This window comes from Homo sapiens, chromosome 2, assembly GCF_000001405.40.
Source record: "Homo sapiens chromosome 2, GRCh38.p14 Primary Assembly".
Lineage (NCBI taxonomy): Eukaryota > Metazoa > Chordata > Mammalia > Primates > Hominidae > Homo > Homo sapiens.
This window is the reverse complement of record NC_000002.12, coordinates 29165482-29185829: the sequence shown is the minus strand read 5'-3', so window position 1 is coordinate 29185829 and position 20348 is coordinate 29165482. Positions and strand designations below refer to the sequence as shown.

The 20348-nt window shown below is 37.2% G+C and overlaps 1 protein-coding gene across 15 annotated transcripts in view; it reads right to left on the bottom strand.

The window, feature by feature from the left end:
• Positions 1-2021: 2021 nt before the first annotated feature.
• Positions 2022-20348, bottom strand: part of CLIP4 (CAP-Gly domain containing linker protein family member 4) — an 86083-nt gene continuing 67756 nt past the window's right edge. For 10 of the 15 annotated variants that reach the window (XM_005264562.3, XM_011533110.2, XM_005264563.2 and 7 more), the window contains 3 exons: positions 18290-18354; positions 11385-11457; positions 2022-4258 (listed from right to left, as the gene is read on the bottom strand). In XM_005264562.3, the coding sequence (XP_005264619.1) occupies positions 3937-4258; positions 11385-11457; positions 18290-18354 (460 nt within the window). In that variant the 3' untranslated portion in view covers positions 2022-3936. The other 5 variants (NR_109844.2, NM_001287528.2, XM_017004959.3 and 2 more) reach the window with 4 other exon arrangements.

Here is a 20348-nt window from a genome sequence, read left to right as displayed (position 1 = left end):
AAAACAAAAAGTTTCATTTGACCACACATAATGAAACGATATTAATGTCAGTAATATGTGCTCGTCTACTCAAATTCCACCACGTATACTTTTCCTCTCATAAAAAGGAGAATTAGCAAAAAAAATATGGTAGAACAAAATCTTTTTGCCTATGCAAAGGCATCATATTCTGCTTATAATACACTATTAACATGTCCTGAAAGCTTAACTTGTTCAGCCCATACACAAATTTCATTAGGAATGTTTATTTTATAATCAAACAGTATATGTGACATTGTTTGTAAATAAGGCCTGTGTACCAAGGGATACTAAACAATTACTAAAAATATACACGATAACGTGAGTTTTGTATTAACCACTGTATTTGTATTATAAATAAGTGAAGGAAAGGGCATGAAAAAAATAAATTAATCCTTCTATTGGCTTGCAATGTGGCTATGAATATTATATGTCTCTGAGTCATTTAGTCATTTGTTACTTAGATAACAAATATCCATCTGGTAAGTAGTTAAAATTACTAGAACTATTTCTCAATTAAGAATGATTTTAACACAATAGGCTTCTAGCCATTGGTTGATGTGGTTTAAATAATATTATCACACATTCTAAAAAGGGAGCCTCAAAATAAAACTCTGAAATAAAAATATCTAACACAGCCAGGCACGGTGGATCACACCTGTAATCTCAGCACTTTGGGAGGCCAAGGCAGGTGGATCACCTGAGGTCTGGAGTTCGTGACTAGCCTGGCCAACATGGTGAAACTTCATCTCTACTAAAAATACAAAAAATTAGCTGGGCATGGTGGTGGGTGCCTGTAATCCCAGCTACTCGGGAGGCTGAGGCAGGAGAATCACTTGAACCCAGGAGGCGGAGGTTGCAGTAAGCCGAGATCCCGCCACTGCATTACAGCCTGGGTGACAGAGCGAGGCCCTGCCTCAAAAAATATATATATAGATAGATAGAGATATATATTTAATACTGGAGATCAACGTTATCCCCACTTGAGTATGATCCAGTTCATTCTCTCCATATTAGACCACATGTATTACCATATTCTCTAAATTATCATCATATTAAAATAGGAATTCAAAGTTAGCCCCAGGCAGAAGGGAAAGGGAGCTGCCCCAGGTGGTCCTGCTGCGTCTTTCCTCCCCATTCCCTACTGCTGCGCCACTCAGCATCTGTTGTCTCTTACACGGCACTCTTCAGGGGTAAGTTGGGCTCCTGGATTCAAACTTTTCTTGTCCTCCTTCCTCCTTTCGTGTCTAAGAAAATTTACCTGTTCTGTGGCCTAGTCTTGCAAGGCCCCTTGTGTGAAGCTAGCTAGATACTATCTCTATTTCCAACAATCAATGGCCTTTACTGCCTTTGTTCACTCAACAAAACCGAGCATCTACTAGGTACCAAGTATTATTCTAGGTGTTGGGGATAAAGTGGTGAACAAAACAGTCAAAAATCCACTCCTCAATCTCGTGAAGGAAGAAAGAAATAATAAGCAAGAAGTTGTAATCAGTAATAAGCATGACCAAATGCTAAAGAGAAAAATAAAACATGAGAGGGAAACAAGGAGCTCTTGGGAGGAGGTGCCAGAGACTCACAACAAGATTACAACACCAGAGTTCACAGTTAGCAAACAGCAGTACTCAACATTCTTACATACTTAAAAATATTCCCCCCAAATCACCCTAAATATAAAAACAAAGTTTTTTAGTAAAAGGCAGCTAATTATTTCTATTTTTTAATCTAAATTCAAAGTGTTCCATCCTACCCTAAATAAACAAGTGAAATCCCAACTGTAGAAATACGTTCTTTTCTTAAATGACTCACTATTCATCAAAACAATACTAATAGGATGGTGGCTATGAACATAGACTGTTGAGTAGAAAGCATGATACTTTTTAATACTCTTTATAGGGACAGGACAAATCCAAGCCATTACCGTGAGGAAAAAGTTCAAAGCATATGCACCCTGAGTTACTGAGAAAAGCAGAGTTGCAAATAGGGTAAATGACAAGATACCATTCCAAAACCACACAGCTTCCCTTTTTATTGATGCTCAAGAAGTGAACTTTAAATGACATTTCATAAGCAAAACACAAATGAAAACACCTAATGTGCATGTATAGTATATGTAAACATACATAGTATATGGACTCAATCATCCTCATCTAAATATAAAGAGAACAACTGGTTCTTTGACCTCAAAAATAAATTCAATGTTGGCATTACTGTTTTTAACTTACAGTGTTTTATATTTAACAGGAAAAATTATGAATAACCAAGTTTGGTGTGGTCATGGATTTCATGTTAAGGTATAAATAGAGTTTTTAAGAAATAATCTGTATAATAAAATAAGTTTACTTTTGAATCGCAGTACAGTCATTTCCTTCAATCAATAAAAATATTCCTTGATTACAAAGCAGCCTTATTTTGCAAATGTATTTCAGGAAAATAGCTCTAGCAATATTTGAAATACCACACTATTTTAAAAAGGCAGCGAAGTGACAGAATTTAGATTTAAAATAGTATATTGCAAAATAGTTCAACATATTATTTCTAAGCACAAGGCAAGCTCCATTCTGAAGGATGCTTTTTAATCTTATAAAGCAAACTGTTCCAATATTTCTGTGGTAAAGTCTAAATATTTACAATAAAAGATGAATCTTTACACAGACAGGACATAAACTTCAATACCTAACCACAATGCAAACATTTTACATTATGACATCACTCTAATGTGAAGCTTAGTTTGTTAACATGTGCTCAAGAAGGAAAATAAAAACAATACAGTTCTGTAGCTTTGTAACAGGCAGAACTCTGCAACAATTAGAGAAATAAAAACAGCAAACAACACCAGTTCTATGAGTAACAAAACAAAAAAAATCCAGATATTATAAACATTTAAGTAAATAACTAATACATCCTTCCTGATATATCTTTATTTGCTCTCTTCTGTTAAATACGTTTTTTAAAATGTTTCTCATATCCCAGGAGGAAAGGACAGTAAATTATTCACAAAGATAAAAGTGCATCATGTTTGAAAAGTGCTTTGTGTTTATGTGTTACAAACATATCCAATAAGGAAGTTAAGTAAGTCTGTGCAAAAAAAATCTAATTATTACTTGAATTCATAAACCTTAATCATGGGTTTTTTGTAGTTCATCCAGATGAAGCAGTCAAGCAGCAGAAGAAAAATCTGAGATTAGACATTTTGTATAGCAGAAAGAGCACTGGGCCACAAGTGAGGAGACCCACAGTCTATTCTTAGCTCAGTTAACCAACCAGTTAGTGACCCCAGGTAAGACGGGCTTCCATTTCAGTATTTGGCAATGGGCAAGAAGCAGAGCTGGAGAGCCTCTAAGGCCCCTTCCAACTCCAAAATTATCATGTATCTTTAGATGAGGCATTTCTGAAAGGGCAAATAATTTTACCAAAATATAAAACTACATACTAGTCATCTAGCTACTACTCACTCATTGGACTTATTAGTAATAAAGCACAGAAAGAAAGAAAAATTCCAAAAATGATTGACAAAAAAAGGTCACGTGAACATTACACATAACCAAAGCTAGAGAAACCCTTCACAATTAGGGCACTAAGAAAAATCCATTATGATGTGCAAAAACAAAACAGAATAAGCAAGAAATGCAACAGCTGGTCACCTGATGGCACTTTTTCTTCCTGAGTCCCAGAATCTTCTTGGAACCTAAAGCTTTAATTGGTACTTATTTTGAAAATTGCTTTAAAAGAACCATGATTCCCCATAGTTCATATTCATGGCTTTGTAAAGAACTCTCTCTGAATTGTTATAATGGTTTTTAAGAAGATAACTATATTTTCAAAATTTTAATATGGCTAAATAAAGTAAACCATTTACCATGGACTCTTTATTTACACCAAATATATATATTTGAGCTTATTTAATATTTTAGAAGCTTAACAATTCTCATCCACAAGTTTTGACCCATTAATTCCCCGATAGGTCACTCTGCTCGGTCGAACTAAGACTCCATGGTTCGGCTTACAGGTGAAATAGCGCTTGTCACCCACTGACCCATCATTTTTTCCCTTGGCGCTTCGGAGCTCAAGTCCAAGCCAGATACCTGAAGCAAAGTCAGTGGGGCCCACATACCTAACAGTACCCATCTCATTGGAGCTCGTGAGCAGGACCTGAGACCCCTCGTGCAGCTTCACGCTCCCTTCAATGCCACCTGCGGTGGGGGTGCTGCTCCAACTGCGACGCAAAGCAGCTTTCGATCTGTGCGGAAGGGAAAAGTGGGAAAAATTATTTAGTGCTGAAGCCACGTAATGCAATGCATCATATTCATTTCCACTGCCAGATTCAGAATTCATTCACTCAGTTCCCAAAAGAGAATACTTTATGGTCACAACTTGATTTTTAAATTTTAAATAGCAGTTTTAGAGTATACAGTTGACCCATGAACTACACAGGTTTGAAGTACGTGGGTCCACGCATACACAGAAGTTTCTTCCACCTCCGCCACCTGGGACAACAAGACCAACCCCTTCTCTTCCTCCTTCTCCTCAGCCTGCACAAAGTGAGGACAATGAAGAAGAAGATCTTTATGATGATCCGCTTCTATTTCAGGAATAGTAAATATATTTTCCCTATGACTTTAACATTTTTTTCTCTTTATAGTAAAAATACAGTACATACTATATGTAACATACAAAATATGTATTAATCAGCTGTTTATGTTATAGGTAAGGCTTCCAGTCAACAATAGGCTATCAGTAGTTAAGTTTTGGGGGAGTCCAAAGTTACACACTGATTTTCAACTGTTGCAGGCAAGCAGGGGATGGCACTCCTAACCCCTGCACTCATTACTCAAAGTTCAACTGTACTTCTGTTTAACATTTTAAAAGTTTTTGTCTTTTGCGCTATTTTAAGACTACCCCATTCTGGATTTAAGATTTCATTTGCCATATATATATATATACATGTGTACACACACACACACACACACATACATATATATGCTTTCAGTAAAATAGCAATTAGAAAAAATACACTTATACCTAATTAATTTCTACCAGTATTATCAAATAACGCAAAAAGAATCTAGTATTTTGGCTGTTTTAATTGCTATCAATATTATCAAATAAAGCAAAAAGAATCTAGTATTTTGACAGTGTAGTAAATTTAAATTATTTTTTGTTCACTTTAAAAAATATTTTTTCATATGCAAACAAATTTTAAAAACTGTAAATCTACAACTTTGGAAATATCTATACACATATGTATGTATGTTCTATGTATGAACTCCAGTTACGGTTAAAGGTTTAGCACCCTCCCAGCCACTAACACTAACGAGGGTCTGAGGTGCCTTGAGCAGCTGCCTCTCCTTCTCCCTACAACATAACATTCCTTACAGTGTGCAAGAACGTCTCCTAGCACTCACCACCACCACAACCTGATAATGAGGCATGGGACTCCCCAGTGCACTCATCCAAGGCCTCAAGGCTATATTGCCCCAGAGCTGCCTGCACTGTCCACTGCAAGTAGCTTGACCCTGATATTCACCCACAATAGAAACATGACCAGGGTCTTGTCGCTCCCTGAGCTGAGACCTTCTAAAACGGCCAGAAAGAAACCATCAAAACTACCTGGTGCCTTCCATCCTCTATCCCATGCCACCTCTCCTCCAAAAGAAACCCCTCTCCCTACCCCACAGGATATTCAACACAGAACTTGTTACTAACACTACACAGGATCTTGTTGTGAACAGAATCTGGGTCTTACTTATTTCATATTTCATTTCACTTTCTATATTTTTAATACACTGTCACACACAATGTCTCATTTGTTCCTATTAACCACTCTATAAGAAAGGAAGATGACTAATTTTAATGGATAGGAAAACTGAGGCTCAGAGATTTATTCTAAGCCACATCTGCCAGTAAGTGATAGAATTCTAATTAGAAAATAGTCTTAAATTATTTACATGTCAAATGCACAAATACAATAATAAATTTAATAAAGAAACATGTAATACCTATAAGAAAAAGCATACATCTTTACTGAAGAACATACATGGAAGAGCTCTGTTACTAAAGAGAAATGTATATAGGTTAATTCTCCCCAAATGGATGTTTTTTGTAACCTGACAAAATTACTGTAATTTTCATAGGAATGATGACAATAGCTATCATTTCCTGAACACTTACTAGGTACCTAACACTTCACATACGTTATCTCTTTCGATCTCACCCAAACCAGGGAAGATGGGATTATTACCTCCTTATAATGGAAGAAGAATCTGAGGTTCAGAAAAACTAAGCTATGTGCCTAAGGTCAGAGAGATGAAAAGAGCAAAGATGAGGCTCAGATCCATGGCTGTATAAGCACAAAGGCCAGGCTCTCTTCACAAACAGAATGGGTACTGGCAATTAAGAAAAGGCTGAAAAATAATGAGGCAAGGTTTACGCCGCCATTAGGTTAAATTATAAAGTTAAAATAGTTAAAACAATGTGGCTCTGTCGTAAGAATGTAGTTTTAAATGACATAGAAAACATATTCTAGAAAAATGAAAAATAGACATAATTATTTTACATGTGATTAAAAAGTAAAACTTCAAAGCAGTGAAAAAGGAGGGAACATTGAATCAGGAGTGCTGTAAAAATTAGCTGAGAAAAAGGATATGACTCTCACCACTCCTCTATATTAAAATAAACTGCAAATAAAGACCTTTAATGCATAAACTGAAAAAAAGAGGCTGGGCGCAGTGGCTCATGCCTATAATCCCAGCACCTGGGGAGGCTGAGGCAGGCAGATCACTTAAGGCCAGGAGTTTCAGACCAGCCTGGCCAGCATGGTGAAACCCTGGCTGTACAAAAAATACAAAACTTAGAAGGGCACAGTGGCAGGTGCCTGTAATCCCAGCTACTCGAGAGGCTGAGGCATGATAATCGCTTGAACTCGGGAGGCAGAGGTTTCAGTGAGCTGAGATAGTGCCACTGCTCTCCAGCCTGGGCGACAGAGCAAGACTCTGTCAAATAAATAAATAAATATTGAAAAACACACTCACACACACATATATGCAGAGAAAGAGATAGGAAGTATTGGGAAGGGAGTAAGGAAGAGGAGAGTTCAATACATGTTTTAGAAGTCTGGCATCTATTACTAGTTAAATTCTGATTTTTTTCATTTATTATTGTGCCATAAAAATGTTTTCGTATCACAGCACAGTCTTTAAAAACATTGCAAAAGTCACGCTGAAGGAAGCTATTAAACAATATGGGAATATGAGCACGATATACAGGGGAAAGCTTTGAAATGGGCATATGGAATATGATTCATCTCCCTTTGCTTAAAAATTCAGACACATGGCCAGGCACAGTGGTGCACACCTGTAATCCCTGAATTTTGGGAGGCTGAGGCAGGTGGATCACCTGAGGTCAGGAATTCGAGACCAGCCTGGCTAACATGGTGAAACCCCGTTTCTACTAAAAATACAAAAAATTAGCTAGGCATGGTGGTATGAGCCTGTAATCCTGGCTACTCAGGAGGCTGAGGCAGGAGAATCACTTAAACCCAGGAGGCAGAGGTTGCAGTGACCAAGATCACACCATTGCACTCCAGCTTGGGCAACAAGAGCGAAACTCTGTCTCAAAAAAAAAAAAAAATTCAGACACATGCATTAGGAAAACAATTGGAAAAGTGTATACCAAATGCTAACAGTGATAATCTCATCTAGGTAACAAAATTACAGATGACCTTTTTGCATTTGGTTTTTCTTCATTTTTCAAATATTGTACAACTTTCATAAACAAAAAAGCTTTTAAAGAAACAAGTAAATAATGGATTCAACATCTAAACCAAAAATTAATGGGTTGGGTAAACACTTAACGTTCTAATAAGAATGATTTATTTGATTCAAGGTATGTCAAAGCTCAAAAGCCAGAGAATTGAGACACTTAGAATTATGGTATGTTTGAGAGCTCTGTTTACTCATTCAAAAATATTTATTGGCCACCTATGAAATGGCAGGCATGGGGCTATGTTCTAGGTATTTGTACATAATAATCAGTAAAATGTTATAAATACTACAATAAAGACTGTATACAGTACAGAATCAGCTAAGAGGAAGACGTCTCTTCTCCCTTAAAGCCTCAAGAAAGACACATTAGTGGGGAAATGACATTTCTGCCAGCTTGAAAGATAGGCACACAGAAAAGGAAACGCAGAGATCGTCATCTGAGAAAAATATATATATTACTTTTTTTTTTTGAAACAGAGTCTTGCTGTCACCCAGGCTGGAATGCAGTGGAGCAATCTAGGCTCACTGCAACCTCTGCCCCCCAGGTTCAAGTGATCCTCCTGCCTCAGCATCGCAAGTAGCTGGGATTACAGGTGCCTGCCACCATGCCCAGCTAATTTTTGTATTTTTTTTTTTTTTTTGAGACGGAGTCTTACTCTGTTGCCAGGATAGAGTGCAGTGGCATGATCTTGGCTCAATGAAACCCCTGCCTCCCAGGTTCAAGTGATTCCCCTGCCTCAGCCTCCTGAGTAGCTGGGACTACAGGTGCAAGCCACCACACCTGGCTAATTTTTTGTAGTTTAACAGACAGGGGCTTTCACCATGTTGGCCAAGATGATCTCGATCTCCTGACCTCAAGTGATCCTCCCACCTCAGCCTCCCAAAGTGTTGAGATTATAGGCATGAGCCACTGTGCCTGGCCAAACTGTTTGTTACTTTTTATACTCCTGAAAAGCATACAGTTTAGAGAACTGCAATCACCTGTGAGGATATTGCCATGAAAAAAAAGTCAGGGAAACACAAGAGCCAATCGTGTAGGTCTTCGAATGCTAGGCCAATAAATCTGGACTTCATTCTGTGTTTGAGAATTCGAAAGCTTTAAGGGACAGGCAGAAAACAAACCCAAGCACATGATGTGAGAGGACAGACCTGTGGCCAACTGGATGGTATCAGTTTTGCCTAAAGACAATCAAATTTGGGCTGACCAAACCATGCCAATGAGCCAGATTCTACAGACAGGACCCAGTGAGGATTTCTGAGCAGGCCCTGGTGGTAACATGGAGAAGAGTTAAGTGAGTTGGTAACAACAGGACAGGAGACAGATCCCAGGCGGGATGTACACATCCGCAGAGTGAAGGAGAATCAACGCCTCATGCCTATCAGGTCCCTCTGACGACCATGGTAAAATCTCAAGCTCATTCTTGGCACTGGACATACAGTGTTCTGAAGACAGAGCTGCTTCCCTCCCCCTTTCTGCCATGTCTTCCTCGGGATGAAACGCATTCCTCACTACCATTTCTATACGTGATCGAGAAAAATCTGTTCCTTCTCCTCTCCCAGCTTGCTTTCACTCACAGGGGCCAAACGTGCCCTCCAAGGCCTTCAAGTTTCTACCCAAGAATGTCCATCATCTCTGACTAGATTATCCACATTTCTTCTCAAAGTATCATTTATTTCCATACGAACAAGCAAGGACATGGAGCAGAGTTTGATGAATCTCAAGAAACATACTTTCTCAACACACGTGTCTCAGAACACACCATGTCTCCAGGTTAACAACAGCACAACACACAATCAACTCTGGCCCCTTGGCAGAAGGCCATCGAGCACTGCCCTGTCTCCCTCACCCCTAAGAGCAGGGACAAATGTCCTAGTGCCTGCCAGCACCTGAAACCCTTTCTTTTGTTTCTGAGAACAATGATCACCATTTTGGTTGCACACTTTATGAGTAAAAACAGATAAATTAATAATTTAAAAAGTTTATTCTCAGCCGGGTGCGGTGGCTCACGCCTGTAATCCCAACACTTTGGGAGGCCAAGGTGGGCAGATCATGATGTCAGGAGATCGAGACCATCCTGGCTAACACAGTGAAATCCCGTCTCTACTAAAAATACAAAAAATTAGCCGGGTGTGGTGGCGGGCGCCTGTAGTCCCAGCTGCTTGGGAGGCTGAGACAGAAGAATGGCGTGAACCCGGGAGGCGGAGCTTGCAGTGAGCCGAGATCACGCCACTGCACTCCAGCCTGGGTGACAGAGCAAGACTCTGTCTCAAAAATAAAAAAATTAAAAAAAGAAAAAAGTTTATTCTCTATCCTCAATAAAAGTATATTTTTAAGGGACTAGTGTTAACCTGTATAAGTATTACTAAAGCTTTTTTATTTTTAGAGAAAACAGGGAAGTACTGATATTTCCACCTCACGTCTACAGAGCGTCTTGTGTATAACCATACCTGCTGTATAATTCCCAGGGCTCAGATTGTTTTCTCCTTCCCTTGCTTCTCTGTATCATGTTCTTCCACTCACCAACATCTCGACACTGATTTGGACACCTCTCCCCCTTCAGAATCCTTTATGTCCTGGGTGTTTCTTCTTAGCAGCTTCTTCCATTCTGCCTAAGAACTCTTGAATATCTTCAATAAACTGGAGCATAAACTGACTGCCCTTAAACTCCTTCAGCTACTCAAGCAAGAAGACCTTCAAAATTCTCAAAATTGGTGATGGTTTTGAGGAAGGGAGAAAAACAGCCCCACCCAACCCTCTCAACAGTACCTAACAGTCCTCAGGATGAGCCAGGTTTCTCCCATGAAATTTCAGATCTCTGTGAAGCTTGCCAATACCTTCATGCCAGAAGGTAAACAAATGACCTGCCTATCCACAGTGGGACATCAAGTTCTAGCCTCTGGGCTCTAATTTCTCGTGGCTCCTAGGGTCCCATTACTTAAACAAGCACGTGTACTTCCCTAAGCAGCTAAGCCTTTTCCCCCAGGGTATTATTCATAGATTAACTGGCAGCACCTCTAAACCCAATCAGTCTGGAAGAGCCTCATATTGCTCTAAAGTGAAAATGCTTCAGAAAACCAATGGGGGGTAGTGAAGTGGGTCTCAGGGAGATAAACAAAAATGAAAAAGAGAAAAGGGCATTCTCTCTGCAACAAAACAAAAAAAAAGGCTTTTTTGAGCATTATACTCTTAAGAGGAATTGGGAGCATTTTTCAAAATAACTGCAAGATTACGCCTTACATTTCTTTCATGTATCACTGACAATATTAAATCAAATCTCTCATTACTTAAGGAGAGTTTAAAAGCAATCCACCCTACTTAATGAAAAGACAATATGTAAATTCCTTTAACTTTTATTAACAGTTCTGACCTCTATGAAGATAAAATATATGCAGTGCACTAGTTTTAGTCACTGGTGACATTTTTAATTGCGCTTGCAAAGGAGGGAGGAAGAACGCTTCTCAATACACTTATCACACCTTTTCTCCTACGTGTTAAAACTCTACCAAGCAATGCAAAAGATACAGCACTCCACTTTTCTTTCTTCACAGAATCCCATCATGTTCATCTTGAAAGGTGTTTTTCTAAATCTTCTTAATACTCACTTGGAAAAAGCATTTCTTCTGTTAATCTCCTTTTGGGAAGAAGCAGAAGTTGTGCTAAAACTTCTCCTAAAACCTAAATATGAAAGTTGGGGTTAGCAGAGGAAAAATATAAGCTTTCAGTCCTTATTTAAAATGATATTTTATCACTTCTTCTGTAGATGTTCTATTATATTAAATGTTTCTTTCAAAACAGCAGGCTGGCATGGTGGCTCACACCTGTAATCCCAGCACTTTGGGAGGCCTAGTGGGAAGACTGCTTGAACTTAGGAGTTCAAGACCAGCCTGGGCAATAGAGTGAGATCCTATCTCATTAAAAAAAAAGAAAAGAAAGCAGAGAAGGTAAGTATACAGAATATAACGGTAGTTTAGATTTCTTAACAAATTTTCATCTTTACTTTCATGATCAAACTATACACATAGATGAATAAGTGAAGAGCATGACATTACTTTTGGAGAATTTCATTATAAGATTTCTTAAAAATCAAATAAAATTGAATTACACATTTATAAAGCTGATTATTTTTACTGTCAAATATGATAATCTTGATAATCATATAAAAAAGAAAAAGATAAAATGGTTTAAAAGATACAATCATTTATAAAACATTGAACAATTAACTTCAGAGCTTTTGATTGTTGGCCTCTCCAAATAATACAACAGAAATAAAAACACTTCACAAGAGGTAAATTTTTAAAAAGATGTTATTAAAAAGAAACAAGATTTCCAGCCTGGCCAGTTATGGCAGACCAGACGTGCTGAATGAATCTTTTGATTGACACAATTTTAGTTTAAAACTATAATTTTTAAAAAATACTATCGAGCTGACACAAAAGGCACAATTTCAAAGTGGCTAAAAACAAAAAAGGGAAACCATCAGAGGCCTCCAAGCACCAAAGTAATTGACCATCTTATACCAGCAGGCTTTCCGCTGAATTCCAGAGAACCTGGGCTTTCACCTTACTGGCTGCACAGGAGACAGGGAAGAAAATAAAGCCCAGGGCCTCCAAATGGAGATTCTCACAAAAGATTCTTGGTTAAAGCGAGGATCCCCAACAGCTCACTCTCAGTGCAAGGTGAAATGAGAAACAAAACGAAACACCGTTCAGATGAAGACAAAGGAAAGTCACTTATGTCAACCTTAATCCTCAGTAGGAGACAAAATTTTCTCCCCTCAGAATTTGTTACCATGAATGAAATTCATGTTATCTTGTAATACAAAAATATGTTGCAGAGACTATAAATTAAAGTCCCAGGTTGGCAATGCCTCCAGGCAACTGGCACAGGTAGACACAATCTTCTCTGGAAGCATCAACCCAGGCCTCAAAGAATTTTTATATATAAAATTCTGAGCAAAACAAGCATCTCACAAGGAAAGAAGGCAAACCATAAGTTAGTCTCAACAGAAACAGATGGCAGAATCAGACTCACAAAGGCTTTAGATACTGAATTATTTAACACAAAATAAAAGATAATACTTTAAATATTTAAAGACATAAAAGAAAAATTTGAAAATATGGGGAAAGAATTGCAATGGTAACTTGCAAGCAGATTTGAAAAAAGAAAAAAAGACAATTTTTATAATTTTACAACTTTATGGCCGGATTAAGCAGCAGAATAAACATAGCTGAAGAGAGAATCAAGAAACAGAATGATGGGTCTAAAGATATCCAAAATATAGTCTAGAGTGACAAGTTGTGAGAAATATGAGAGCGCATGGGAAAGAAAATGAGAAGGTCCAACATACTACTAAACAGACTTTCAGAAGGAGCTAAGAAAAATAATAAAGGAGAAACTATTTTAATTATAATAAATAAGAATTGTAAAGAATTGATCAACTCCCAGATACAGAAAAATCCGTAATGCCAAACAAAAAGGATAAACAGGATAAACAAAAAGAAATCTCTACCTAGACATGATAGTGAAACAATAATATGAATTAGTTAGACTCACAGGTGACGTCTCATCAACAATGACAGAAGCCAAAAACAGCACAACGATACTGTCAATATGCAGGGGGAAAATATCTTTAAACCTAAAATTCTACACCCAGTAAAGTTATCATTGGAAAAGACAAAAACAAAGAGTTTGTTACCCAACAGACCCTTTCTAAAAGAAATTTTATATACATGAAATTTTAAAAATGATCCCAAGTACAAATTCTGAGGGTTAATGAGTAAAGACACTGGGAAATATGAGAGTAACATTACAATATAAAACTATTACAATAATATCAAATTTATAGGAGAAATAAAATACAGACTGGACAACTCAGTTTCTAATGATTTTCTATTATTGAGAAAGGATAAAAATCATTAACTTTAGATTTTGCCAAGTATCAATGTTAAATTATCTACAGTAATTACTAAGAAGCATATTCATAGACTATAACTTCTACACAAGTAGAGGCAGTAAACAGAATGAAAAAAAAAAAAAAACAGAGGGTGGGAATATAGCCAGAATAAAGTCAAGAAATAAAAATCACTTATTAAGTACAAAAAAGTGAATAGAAAACAAATAAAATAACAAAAATATCATCAGTGTATATCAGTAATTACAATAAATGCAAATGAGTAAGACTCTCAGGTTAAAAGAAAGATTGTCAGATTTTTTTAAAAAAGTAAAACCTAGGCCAGGCGCGGTGGCTCACGCCTGTAATCCCAGCACTTTGGGAGGCCGAGGCGGGCAGATCACAAGGTCAGGAGATCAAGACCACCCTGGCTAACATAGTGAAAACCCGTCTCTACTAAAAATACAAAATATTAGCCGGGCGTGGTGGTGGGTGCCTGTAGTCCCAGCTACTCGGGAGGCTGAGGCAGGAGGATGGCGTGAACCCGGGAGATGGAGTTTGCAGTGAGCCAAGATCGTGCCACTGCACTCCAGCCTGGGCGACAGAGCAAGACTCCGTCTCAAAAAAAAAAAAAAAGGAAAACCTAACTATATGCCATATAGAAATATTCTAAAAACATAAGAACATAGAAAGGTTACAAGTCAATGGACAGAAAAAGATATATTCGGCAAATACTTAACCAAAAGAAAGTTGGTATAAGGTAAAAAAATATATATTATTATGAAAGCAACACCACTTACATTAATGCCAAACAATTAAATACATAGGTATAAATCTAACAAAACATGTACAAAGTCTCTATGAGGAAAACTATAAAACTCTGATGGAAGAAATCAAAGAAGATATAAATAAATGGAGAGATAGTCCATGTTTATAGGTAAAAAGACTAAATATTAACATGTCAGTTCTTCCCAACTTGATCTATATAGTCAATGCAATCCCAATTAAAATCCCAGCAAGTTATTTTATGGATATTGACAAACTGATTATGAAGTTTATATACACAGGTGAAAGGCCTAGAATAACCAACACAACATTGAAGAAGCAGATCAAAACCAGAGGATTGACACTACTCAACCTGAAGAATTACTATAAAGCTACAGTAATCAAGACAGTGTGGTACTGGCAAAAGATGAGACAAATAGATCAATGAAACAGAACGGAGAGCCCAGAAATAGCCCAATATAAATTAGTCAACTGATCTTTGAAAAAAGAGCAAAGGCAATTCAATGGAAAAAAGACAGTCTTTTCAACACCTAATACTCGAACAACTGGACATTCACATGTGAAAAAAAAAAATCTAGACACAGACCCTCACATCTTACCCAAAAATTAACTCAAAATGGATCATAGATCTTATAAGACACAAAACTATAAAACTCCTAGAAGATAACACAGGACAAAAATCAGAGTGATCTTGGGTTTGATGATGACTTTTAGATAAAACACCAAAGCACAATTCACAAAATAAAAAACTGATAACTCGGACTTCATTAAAACTAAAAGCTTCTGCTCTGTGAAATACACTGTTAAGAGAATGAAAAGACAAGTCACAGACTGGGGGAAATAGTTGCAAAACACATGTCTGATACATGTTTGGTATTCAAAATATACAAAGAACAACAAGAAAATAGCAAACAGAATTTTAAAATGAGCAGAAGATGTGAACAGGCACATCATCAAAGAAGATACAGCACACTGTTATTGGGACACTGTTGTATGCTGTTGGGAATAGGCAGTAGTTACAGCCATCATGGAAAAACAGGATGGAGTTTCTTCAAAAAACTAAAAATAGAACTATCATATAATCCAGCAATTCCACTGCTGGTATATATCCAAAAGAAAGGAAATCAGTACATTGAAGAGATAGCTGCACTCTCATGTTTACTGAAGCACGATTCCCAACAGCCAAGATATAGAATCAACCTAAGTGTCCACCAATGGATGAATGGAGAAAGAAAATATAGTATATATACATAATACAGTGGAATATTATTCCACCATAAAAAGAAGGAAATCCTGTCACTTGCAGCAACATGGATGGAACTGGAGGTTAAGTGAAATACGCCAGGCACAGAAAGACAAATATCACACGTTCTCACTCATGTGCAGGAGCTAAAACAGTGGATCTTGTGAAGGTAGAGAGTAGAATGATTAGCCTCAAAGGCTGGGAGGTGTGTGTGGGTGGGAAGGGGGATAAAGAGAGGTTGGCTAATGGGCACAAACATGCAGTTAAATAGAAGGGATAAGTTCTAGTATTCAATAGCACAGGGGGAAAATTACGGGTAACAACATTGTATATTTAAGTATATTTAAAAATAGCTAGGAGAGAAGAATTATAACATTCCCAACACAAAGAAAAGATCGATGTTTGAGGTGATAGATATCCCAATTACCCTGACTTAATGATTACACATTGTATACGTGCATCAAATTATCACATGTACCCCAAAAATATGTACAACTACGTCAATAAAAAATACAAAAAAGAGATGGCAAATAAATATATGAAAAGACAGTCAGCATCTGTTACAGGCTGAATTTTGCACCCCAAAAACTCATATGCTGAAGTCCTAACCTCCTGGCATTTCAGAATGTGACTATATTTGGAGATAATTATGGTAAAATGAGGTCATATGTAATTGGAAGTAATTAAGTTAAATGAGGTCACATGGATAGGCTCTAATCCAACATGACTAGTGTCTTTATGAGGAGAGTGGGACACACACACACACACACACACACACACACACACACACACACACACAGTGAAAAAGACCGCATGAAAACACCAGAGATAGAAGGCCATCTACAAGCCATAGAGAAAGGCCTTAGAATAAACCAAACCTGCCAACACCTTGATCTCAGACTTCTAGAGCCTCCGAAATTGTGAGAAAATAAATTTCTGTGTTTCAACCACCCAGTCTGTGGTACTTTGTCACAGCATCCCTAGCAACTAATACATCATCAAACATCCTTAGAAAATTCCAAATTAAAACACTAGGGAATTTCAAATTAAAACAACACACCTATTAGGGTGGGCCATAAAATTAATCTCAACAATTATTTAAGGATTGGTATCATACAAATCATTTTTTCATAGATGGTTATCCATGCAAAAAAAAAAAAGAAATTAGATACTTACCATACACAAAATCAATTCTGAGTAAACTGACACATGGGAAACACAAAAATATAAATCTTTTAGAAAACAATATAAGAAAATATCTTCATAATTTCAATTTTAAGAAAAGATTTCTTAAAACAAAAAGTGCAGGCTGGGCGTGGTGGCTCACACCTGTAATCCCAGCACTTTGGGAGGCCAAGGCAGGCGGATCATGAGGTCAGGAGATGGAGACCATCCTGGCTAACACGATGAAACCCCGTCTCTACTAAAAATACAAAAAATTAGCCGGGCGTGGTGGCAGGTGCTTGTAGTGCCAGCTACTTGGGAGGCTGAGGCAGGAGAATGGTGTGAACCTGGGAGGCGGAGCTTGCGGTGAGCCAAGATCGCACCACTGCACTCCAGCCTGGGCAACAGAGAGAGACTCGTCTCAAAAAAAAAAAAAAAAAAAAAAAAAAAAAGGGCAAACCATAACCTGTTTTGCTATTTTGACTACAAAAAATTAAGGAGCTCTGCCAGTCTAAAGACACCAAAAACAATAAATAAAAATATTAAAAGACAAGTAATGACCTCGGCAAGATATTTGCCACACATGAAATTGACAAAATGTTCCCAAAATACACAAAGAAGCCTACAAATTAATAAGATAAAAGATAAACTACCCTCTGAAAATGGGCAAGAAACTTGAACAGGTACTTCATAATAGAGGAAATGCATATGGCCCATAAGCATGAAAACAGGTTCATCCTCATTTGTAATCCAGAAAATGCAAATTAAAACCATAATGAAATACCATTTAAGCCCTTCAGATAGGCAAAGACTTCTAAATCAAACAAGGTAAGTACTAATGAGGTGAGGAGAAGCAGAGGCTCTGGTCCATGGCAGATAGAGTATGCAATACAGACAGACAGGCATTACCTAGGAAGGTGGAGGACGCAGGTATCCCACACCTGGGAATCCTAGAGAAACTTCCTCAAGTGTGCACAAGAACATAGTTTGTAATAGAAAAGACACAGGATATAACCCAAATAACCATCAATTATGGAATGAATATTTCAACGGAATGCTAAATAACAAAATAGCAAACAAACAAAACTGAACACATATTATTTATTGATATATCTATATATGGGTGACAAAAATAAAGAGAATCAAGGGAATAATTAATGTACAATTCAAGACTCCTCCACCTGAGGATGGGGTATATGAAGAGCAAGGCAGATGAGATGGGATGGGGTACTCAGGGGTTTCTACAGGTCAGGTTATCATCTTCTTCAGCCAGGGGACAGGTAACAGATGTTTGTTCTATTATTACAAAAACTATACAAATACAGTTTATAGACCCTTTTGTATACAATACCTCATAATAAAAATTTTTCAATAAATGAAAGCAAAGAAATATTGATTAGGAACACAAAACTGTGTAGTCTTACCAGGATAAGAATGGTTCTGTTTATTTGAAGAAATTTCTGAAAGGGTATCCAGGGAATCTGTTACTCTATGAATAAAACAAAGGACATCTCGTTAGAAGTAGCTGGTCTTCAGGTTTAAGACTGGTTATCAACTAAGTTTTTCACACCAATTGTAGTCATTCATCAGACAAATATTTATGGAGGGTCCATTTTAAGCCAGGAATGAACTTCCATCTGGCATGGAAGAAAAACAATAATTAAATAGAAGAGGTTCTCACTATCTAAAGATAATTAGTGTAGAAAAAAATTCAAGTGAATTCACCTAAAATATGGACCTGAATTTCTTTGTAACCTCATCTTCAAAGGTGAAACTAAAAAATATGAAAATAAGTTTATTTTATATTAAACTTAACAAATGTTAGATTAATATTGTGAAAAAGGCACTAATTCTTAAGCTGAAAGAAAAAGATATTGGCTGAGTTTGTGTGAGTGATTTTTCTGGTAAAACTATATGGCTAATACAATTCAACATCTTTTACTTTATACTTGACTCTAAGCCACAATTATAAAGGTCACTTTCCCAGTGGATTTTCCTGCATTTTTTGATATTCAAATCATTCTTTATCTTTAAAAAGTCAATCCTGACAGGCTCATTTTCTTTCAACTGTTTAGTGACCTAAATCTGGAAAGCCTTCATTTGTCAATCACTTCCTCCAGCATATCTTATTACCATCAAGAAATCCTTCAACTCTTGAAATATTTGCAATTTCACATTACAATTCATAGGCATCATTTTTACATGATATACAACATACTGCAATGAGAGACTGATGGACACAAAGAATATGATTTTATGAAGAGAATGGATATTTGAATGAAGTAGTAACAGACAGTTGAGAGGGAGTGAATTCTAGAAGTAATCAGTTCATTAGTAGTAAGTGCCTAATAATAGTAAGAACTAAGAAAGTGAATATTATGCTAATGAAGATTACTTGAGCAGTGTGTGTGTGTGTGTGTGTGTGTGTGTGTGTCTGTGTGTGTATGTGATTAACCTAGTCAGTGAGTTTTCCTAGAGTTTCTCTAAAGAAGTTTTGACTGATTCATATATTAGCAGAAGAAAGGTATTAAATAAGTGAAAGTTAGGCAATAGTAGGCGGGTGTAGAAAGCCATCCAAGCAGAAAAAATAACATGTGCAAAGATTCTGGGATAGGAAGCACATTTTACAAACAGAAAGGGGTGGGGGGAAAGGCCAGCCATAGTCCTGAGAAGGAAGAAGATGCAAGGTGTGATTGTGACTGGACACTACCTTATTAAGACTGTCCTCAAGCAGTCCCTAGTTTAAAATTCTTCCATCTTGAAGATCAGTGGTATCTTTCAAGAGTTCCAAAGCTGGTTCAGATTAGAAACGCCTCAAAATCAGGGACCATGTCTGTTTTATTCGCTTATAGAATGCCTAGCACAGCATAAGTGCTAAAAGACACTTAATAGTATTTGATGATGATGAATGAGACAATCAGAAGATGACAGGAAGACAGCTGGATTGAGATAGCAGTTCATTTAGAGACAGCCCTATTTTTTTTTTTTTGAAGAAGAGGGGGCTGCTTTTTAAATGCACCACCTTAAAGAAAACCAAATAGAAGGCAATCAAAAAAAAGTAAAAAACGTGTGCTCCAGAAACAAAGCAAGAAGGAAAAGATGAAACCATGAGAAAGTGGCTTGACAACGTAAAGGAGGAGGAAAAAGCTGTTACAGCATAAAACCACTGAACTAGGAATCAGATTGGATCAATATTTACCGTGCCTAAAATATGCCAAACTATGTACTCTGAGTAATCAAACATGAAAAGCAGAATCCCAGTCCTCATGACTAGGAAACAAACAAAACTTGTAAGAGACTGCTGCAATGTTTTGATGAAGATATGCCCAAAGTAACATGAGAACACAGAAGATTCACTGGTGACTCAGCATGCATTTTACTCCCAAACCAATTATTTACAAGATGTATGTCCTGACGAAGGTCCCTGAAGCTCTTCTAACCGTTATAGGGTTACGGTTAAGGGCACACATGCTGATACTAGAC